The sequence below is a fragment of the Homo sapiens genome, chromosome 2 (assembly GCF_000001405.40).
Source record: "Homo sapiens chromosome 2, GRCh38.p14 Primary Assembly".
NCBI classification, from domain to species: Eukaryota; Metazoa; Chordata; class Mammalia; order Primates; family Hominidae; genus Homo; species Homo sapiens.
This window is the reverse complement of record NC_000002.12, coordinates 157,162,429-157,170,214: the sequence shown is the minus strand read 5'-3', so window position 1 is coordinate 157,170,214 and position 7,786 is coordinate 157,162,429. Positions and strand designations below refer to the sequence as shown.

General features: G+C 42.1%; 1 annotated feature.

The window, feature by feature from the left end:
* Positions 4,747-5,273: an enhancer, noted in NCBI's record as "H3K27ac-H3K4me1 hESC enhancer chr2:158021454-158021980 (GRCh37/hg19 assembly coordinates)". NCBI's record gives its function as "activates a minimal SCP1, AML or CMV promoter by ChIP-STARR-seq in primed H9 embryonic stem cells {active_cell/tissue: H9 hESC(primed)}" and the evidence as "EXISTENCE:reporter gene assay evidence [ECO:0000049][PMID:30033119]".

The window sequence follows — 7,786 nt, the reverse complement described above, 5'->3', positions numbered from 1 at the left end:
TACCTTAGATATTTCCAACAGAGAAAATTCAATAGAAGGAATCAGTTACATAAGCAATAGACAAGTTGAGGAAATGGGGAAGCAACCTAGAGAATAGCCACACCCCAGAATGCTTCTGCCTCTGGAGAGCTGGAGGAACAAAAGTGGGTGGTGTAACAGAGCCTGAGATCTGAGTGGACCCAGTGGAAGGTAAACCACAGTGGGTCTTCCGGTAGAAGGTGAGATCATTAGGGGAGGGACTATCCAGCAGGACCCAGACGCATGGACCTGGAGCCGAGGAGGAAAAGTACCCACCACTGGGGATACCACCTGTAGGAGTAAGGAAAAAGAAGAGGGAAGAGAGGAACCTATAAAGGAAGGTAAAAAAGGGGAGCTAAAAAGCATAAAAACAACTAAGAGGCTGGGTATGTGGCTTACACCTGTGATCTCAGCACTTTGGGAGGCTAAGGTGGGAGGATCGCTTGAGTCCAGGAGTTTAATACCAGCATGGACAATGAAGTGAGACCCTGTCTCTACAAAAAATAAAAAAAATATCCAGGCCCAGTGGCATGCACCTGTAGTCCCAGCTACCCTGAAGGCTGAAGTGGGAAGACTGCTTGAGCTCAGGAGTTTAAGGCAGTGGTGAGCTGTGATCCTGTGATCATGACAATGCACTCCAGCCTGGGTGGCAGAGCGAGACCCCATATGTAAAAAAACAAAATAAAATAAAAATAACAAAATTAAAAACTAAGACAATGTGGTATTAGGGGAAAAAAGAATTTATCTTTTGAAAAGTACAGATAGGAAAAGGACTCACAATATTAATTTGTTCTGGTTTTGGCCAGAAGGTCTCTGATGATATTTTCAGTAAAGTGATGGAGAGGAAGACAGATTACAGGCTGTTAAATAAAGAAAAGGAGATGAAAGAGTGGAACATGGTATAGATAACTCATAAGAACTTTGACTTCAATGGAAAAGTGAAAAATATGTCTAATAGGTATTAATATGTAATAATAAGCTAGATGTAATAATGAACTGTTGTATGTTCTTGGTCAGGAAAGGAGTGAACAGTATCTCATTAAGAAACTCTTGAATGCATATACATTTATTTTAAAACATAATAAAACTTGGCACTTTATAATAATTGACAATATTTACCAAGTTCTTGACTCTATGCCAGGCATTGTGATTTGCATTTACCTATATGAATGCACTTAATTCCCACCAAAGGCTGATTTTTTCTGGACAACTCTGAGTTTCTGCTATCTTTGATTGCTGCTGGATACATAAGTTATTTCAAGCACACCTCTCTTCTTATAGACTCATCTTGGTATCAGTTATCCAGGAAATAATGGAGAGCAGAGAGTACCGTTCACTTGGCTCCAGCCATTATTATGTTCCCTAGTATTTCCAGCTATTTATCTGCCTTCATGGCACACAGCGTGTTTGCATTTTCTGACCCCTTTGCTGTTAGTCATGTGACTGTTTATGGCCAATGAGATATGAGAAGTGCTGTGTGTTACTTCTGGGCAACAGCAATTCATTGCAAATGCAAGCTGATCCAGGAGTGTCTGTTCCTCTCTAACGTAGGTGAGCAATATTCTATACACAGTGGTGGCCTCATGAGCTTACTCATAGGGAGGTGAGCTCCTAGGCAACTCATAATTAACATTTAATGAAAAGAAAAAATAAACATTTGTGGTTTTACTGAAATTTGGGGCATATTTGTTATCTCAGCATAACTAAATGGATATATTTTCCAAATTGTTCTTCTTTGTCCTCTGGAAGCTATACTACAAAGCAAATAAACTCCCTCCCATTATTGGCCTGGGAGGAAGCATAGAACAAAAGGTTTGGTGTGTATACTTTGGGCTGAAACTGCTCCATTTAAAATGTTGGTTCCACTGCTTACTAGCATGGTGGTCTTCAACAATTTATGTGATCTCTCAGTGTTTTACTATTCTCATTTGTAAAATGGATATACAAATAGTATTTATTTCAAAGAATTTCTGAAAGAATAAAGTTAAATTATTATATAAGGTGCCTAGCACAAAGTTCACTCATAGTGATCATTCAAGAAGTGTTTGCTGTTATCATTGATCACTTACCCCAAATTCTTCCAATTTTATACCTTAACTGAAGTTTCCTTGTCCATATATACAGATATATACATTTTCATCTGTTACTCATTTTTTAAGCATCCTTAGAGTCAGGAGTTCATATTGGGATCTGCATGCTTCTCAGAGCCACTTCTAAAATCTCTACTCTTTTGTACTCATGCTATTTGGATATATCACACTTGGTTCATTTCTTATTTCCATCATCTAGTTATCTCCTAGAGATTCCTCTTTAATTTACTAGGAAATGTGGAACCTCGCTCAGCTTTTCCCCTTACCTTTAAGTGCTTCCACCATTATCCCAGATTTCATGTTGACAAATGATCAGAAAAGTCTAAATTGAAAACAAAATATGAAAAACAAACTCAAACCCAGATTTTCACTTCTCAACTACCTTGCTGCCTCTGCTTCACTTGAGAATGCAAATTCATTGTAGTAAATAACATCAGACAATATGCTTTTTTATTTTTTTTCTAGACAAGCTCCCATTCTGTCACTCAGGCTGAAGTGCAGTGGTGCCATCTCGGCTTACTGCATCCTCTGCCTCCCAGGCTCAGGTGATCCTCCTCGCTCAGCCCCCAAGTAGCTGGGACTACAGCCATGTGCCACCATGCGCAGTTAATATACACACATATATGTGCTACTAATGTGTATATATACACACACATATACACACACATATGTAATAAACTCCCTTTTATATATACATATATACACAAAAATAAAAGGGAGCTTATTAGAGAGAATTGGCTTACATGATTACAAGGTGAAGTCCCATGATAGGCTGTCTGCAAGCTGGGGAAGAGAGAAACTGGCTCAGTCCAAGTCTGAAAGTCTTAAACCAGGGAATCCTGACAGTGCAGCCTTCAGTTTGTATCCAAAGGCCCGGGAGCTCCTGGCAAGCCACTGGTGCAAGTCCCAGTGTCCAAAGGCTGAATAACCTGGAGTCTGATGTCCAAGGGCAGGAGGGATGGGAGGAAGCATCCGGCACAGGAAAAAGATGGAAGCCAGAAGACTGAGAAAGCCAGCTTAGCCCACCTTCTTCCTCCTGCTTTGTTCTAGCCACACTGGCAGCCAACTGGATGGTGCCCACCCACACTGAAGGTTGGTCTTCTTCTCCCAGTCCACTGACTCAAATGTCAGTTTCCTCTGGCAACACTCTGACAGACACACCCAGAAGCAATACTTTACCAGCTATCTAGAGATCCTTTAATCCCATCAAGGTGACAATATTAACCATCACAGTGTCAAAGTAAGAATACAAATGTCAAAGTAAGAATACAAAGTAAAAATACAAACCCTCGCTCGGTACCCAAGTCTGTATTCTAGACAGACTTTATGGTATGCCACAGAATAGCAGTGTTAAAAAGAAAATGCAGATTTGTAAGGTTATATAAGATATTGTTATTATTTTTTTGTGGACCAGCCTCACACTTTATATCTATTGTATTCTGCAATGTGTCCAAAAAAGTGTGATTTTTTGGACTACTTTGTGTCCAATTATTATTTGTTAAATTGATTTTAATATGATTTAAATGCAAAATAGAAGAAAATCACTTGAGTCTTTAATAAGAATTTATATGTCATCAAAGGCCAGTCAAATTCAGTGACTGAAGCAAAGATGATAGGAAATGGTGAGCATTGTAATAAAATGGAAAGCATAGATCCTGCCTAAAGATATTTGCGTTCATGTTTTAGAACAATATTTATACCAAACAAAATATATAAGTGGGGTAATATTGACTCCCATTTTTTCCACTCTTGCTTCAATAATAGCCTTAATTAGAAGGAGCTTTGGCTGGAGATAGTCAAAACTGTAGCAGAATTTAAATTTTATAGCAAATCTTACACTTCTTGGTTCAAGTTGAGAATTAATTAGAGTTCTCCACTCCACAAATACTTTATGAAAGCAAAAATAACCTATTTGTTTGGAAAGGATACCAAAAAGAAAAAAATATGAAATTCTGTTGTCTAGGTGCATTCCTAAAACCACCAGAGAGAATGTAGAGAGAGAAGGGGAGAACTTTTCTGCCCTACAGGCTACATGATTTCTTTTTCCTTCAGTATCAAATCTAGATTTGTCTGGGGGACTTTCAAAGCCCTCTAAAGGAAAGCAGCAAAAATAGTAACTGCTGAGGTTCAGAACTAAAGACTTACCATTATGCTCTAATCTAGTCAAGGGAAACCAGTTCATACAAGGAGTATCAGACACAGGGTGACAGTGGTGGCAGCCCATCTGGAGCAGCCACTATGGGGACACCAGCTGCAGTGGGGGAGGTGTGGCCAGAGCTGCACACTCCGTGGAGTGGCAAAGGCTGGGAGCAGGTGGGAGTCCTGCCCCCTACTGTGTTGGCAGAATGGGAGCCCTGAGCTCTTGGGTACAGCTGCAGCCACCTAACCATGGCTCCAGACGTGGGCATCCCTGCAATTTCAGGGGTCTGGGAAGCTCCCCCTGCCCCCACAGGCTCAGAAGTGCCTGCTCCCACTCCCTAACGTCTCCCCACTTCCAGTGCCCACTCTGATTTCAGAGCAATGTTGAAGCTAAGCCCAGGTGCTCTCGTGACCTGGCCAGGTGTGCATGCACTCAGGGTGGTGCTGACATGCCAGCCCCCTGCTGCCTAGGTCCTCTCTGAAGCTTTGGGCAATGATGAGCTCAGCGAGGGAGGCCAAGAGTGGGTGACTGAGGGTGGCTTGACTGGGCCTGCAGGTGCCCCTAAGCACAAACAGCCTGGGCATCATGGCTGGCATGTTGATGATGGCAGGAGGCAGACAGGTTCCTAGATGGGAAAGGGTGGGTCCTCGGTGAAGCCCCACCTTCAAATCAGGGATGGCCTGAAGCCTGGGGGCAGGCTGCCAGTTCCGTGTGGAGTCTGTGACCTGGAGTGAGAACTTATGGTGCTTTCTCCAGGCCTGCTCATGGCCACCCATGGACCAATCAGCATGCACTACCTCCCTTCTGAGCCCATAAAAACCCTGGACTCAGCCAGATTCACACACTCATTGGGCTGACTTGCTTGCAGAAAGGAGCTACCCACTATGGGTCTCCCCTCTGCTGAGAGCTGGCCACTCATCAGGATGACCTACCTACAGAAAGAAGCTATCCACTTCAGGTCTCCTCAGAGCTCTTCTGTCACTCAATGAAGTGCCTCTCCATCTTGCTCACCCTCCAGTTGTCCACATACCTCAATCTTCCTGGACATAGGACAAGAACCTCAGACCTGACAACTGGTGGGACAGAAAAAGCCGTAACACAAACAGGGCTGAAACACGCCCCCTACTTGCCACATTGCGGCCAACAAGAAGGAATGAAGAGCTGTGACGCTTCTGGGACCCCAGACCTGAGAAATCCCCAAGCCAGGACTGTGACACACTGCAACACCCTCTTTGGGGCTCTGTGGTTCCTGGCATCTCCAAGCTTTTTGATGCCATCATGTTCCTCTTGTCTAGACACTGGTGCCTATGGTGGAAGCTGCTCGGGGTACGTCTGGTCCAGCCATAGCCTCACACAGAGCTGAAGCCTGTGCTGGCGCCTGGAGCTGCCCACCCTGCCACCACAACTGGTATGCCTGGCTGGGTGTAGTGGCTGGACCCTGTGCTTGTTTGCTCACACACTCCTCGCCACTGCACACCTGGCTTGCCCTTGTCAAGTGTGGGATCCAGACTGGTAGCACCAGCCGAGTGAAGCCTGCTGGGCAGAGTGGGTGGAACAAGCCCAGCAGGAATAAGCAAAACCCAAGCAGAGGTACCACTGGCCACAGTGCCTTTCTGGCTGGTGAAGCAACACCCTGAGGATCCTGTGACAATGCTATGGCAGCTACCACTGCCCACCCAATCCTCTATGTCATGGCCGACTTTGCCAGTTGATCTGATATTCTTTCCGGGTGGAGCCCTTTCCAACTCTCAGAATTGTTCTCAATACAGAGATTACCACTATTTGAGTTTTATATTAGTTAGGTCAAGGTCTACCTGGAAGCATTTTTTTTTCTTTAGAGACATGCAGTCTTTGAAATGATAGCACAGAGCCTAGTAAGCACTGACATTTCTATTTAGAAGAGTGTAATGAGTGAAAGCTGATTCAGTGATACAAACAACTCACCATGGATATGAGTCTTTTAGTTTCATGACTATAAGCTTAATTTTTATGCTTTATCTTCCAAATCAAGCCTTTATATATTAACTGTAACATTCTCCTATATGGCCTTTTCCTTCCTATCTCTCCCACATATTTACTAGATTAATCTATCATAAACTCCACTGTCATCATATCACTCTCCTGTTCAAACAATCAATTGTGGTTTTCTACTATATCCAATTGCTCTGTCTATATATTTTGTTTATTAAAATAAAAAGGACTGTGATTCAGAAAGTTTGGGAACCTCTGAGTTTCCCTATTGCCATAGGGAATATCAATAGAGAAGGAGTCTCTATTTACATGCATGGAGCAGTAGTGTTCTACACAAAAATCAGTTTGGGAAATGTCGACATAATGCAGGCATAGACACATACTCACTTTATGGAGCATTTCCTGATTACAAACAACCTGATAAGAAATAGAATTGCATAGGTTGATAACAAAAATACAATAGAGAATAAATACTCTGGAATAATGCTGTACATGGAATCCATGCTTTTGTTTGCAGTACCACCATACTTAATTCATGACTTGCCTATTGTCATTATAAGCTGGTTTAGTTTTGATTTTCTTATTATTTCCTGTTTTTCTCCGATGCTTTAAGAATGGCTTCCAAGGCCTTATTTATATTTCTAAATTAATGGATTGTGTAGGGAAATAGGACCAAACAGTGAAAGAAAAAGAAAGTAAGCACTCAAAAATGAGTCCGTAAATGAATTTCAGAGTAATGTTTGCTGACAAAATTGTGTTGTGATTTTCTTTTCTCCTGGTTTTCCAGCCGTAGATAACAATGCCATACGTTTGTTTTTATAGTCTTTGTCTTTTATAGGGTCTGATAAGCAATTTGAAGTCTGAAAATAAAGATCAATTTTTTGCATTTCCAGGGTGATATTAGGACTTCGTGGTTGTTTGTACAGTTCCACTTAAAGATCACAATCTCGAACGCATTGATGAATAAAAATGTCTTCTCCATACCAAAATAAACCTGTAAATACTGAACTGTAGAGCAAGCTAGGGAAGGGCATCACACAATTCTGGCCTTTAAATAAAAATATATATGAATCCAAGTATATTTCTTTAATGTAAGAAAATGTGCAAAGCAGTCATGTGGAGATGTGAAGGTGGTGCGGTCTGATACTGCAGATGTACTACCCAGCATCCTTGGTCCCCAGTGTGGTTGGCAAAATGAGGGGCCATAAAGATGTCTCTGTCCTCATCCTCAGAACCTGTGGATGTGTCACCTTATATGAAAAAAAGGGTCTTTGCAGCTGTGACTCGGGTTACAGACCTTTAGATAAGGAAATTATTTTAAATTATCCAGTTGGGCTCAATGAGTTTTTAAAAGTAGAAGAAGGAGGCAGAAGAGTGGGTCAGAGGTATGTGACCTGAGAAGGACTCACTTACTGTTGGTTTCAAGATGGTGGAAGGTGGCCATTAGCCAAAGTATATGCTTCCCTCTAGATCTTGAGAATGACCCTCAGTTTTCAGGCAGCAAGGAATATGAAATTTTCTCTATGCTGGCAACCTCTATTCTAGGAAAGGAGCATAGCTGGCCAAT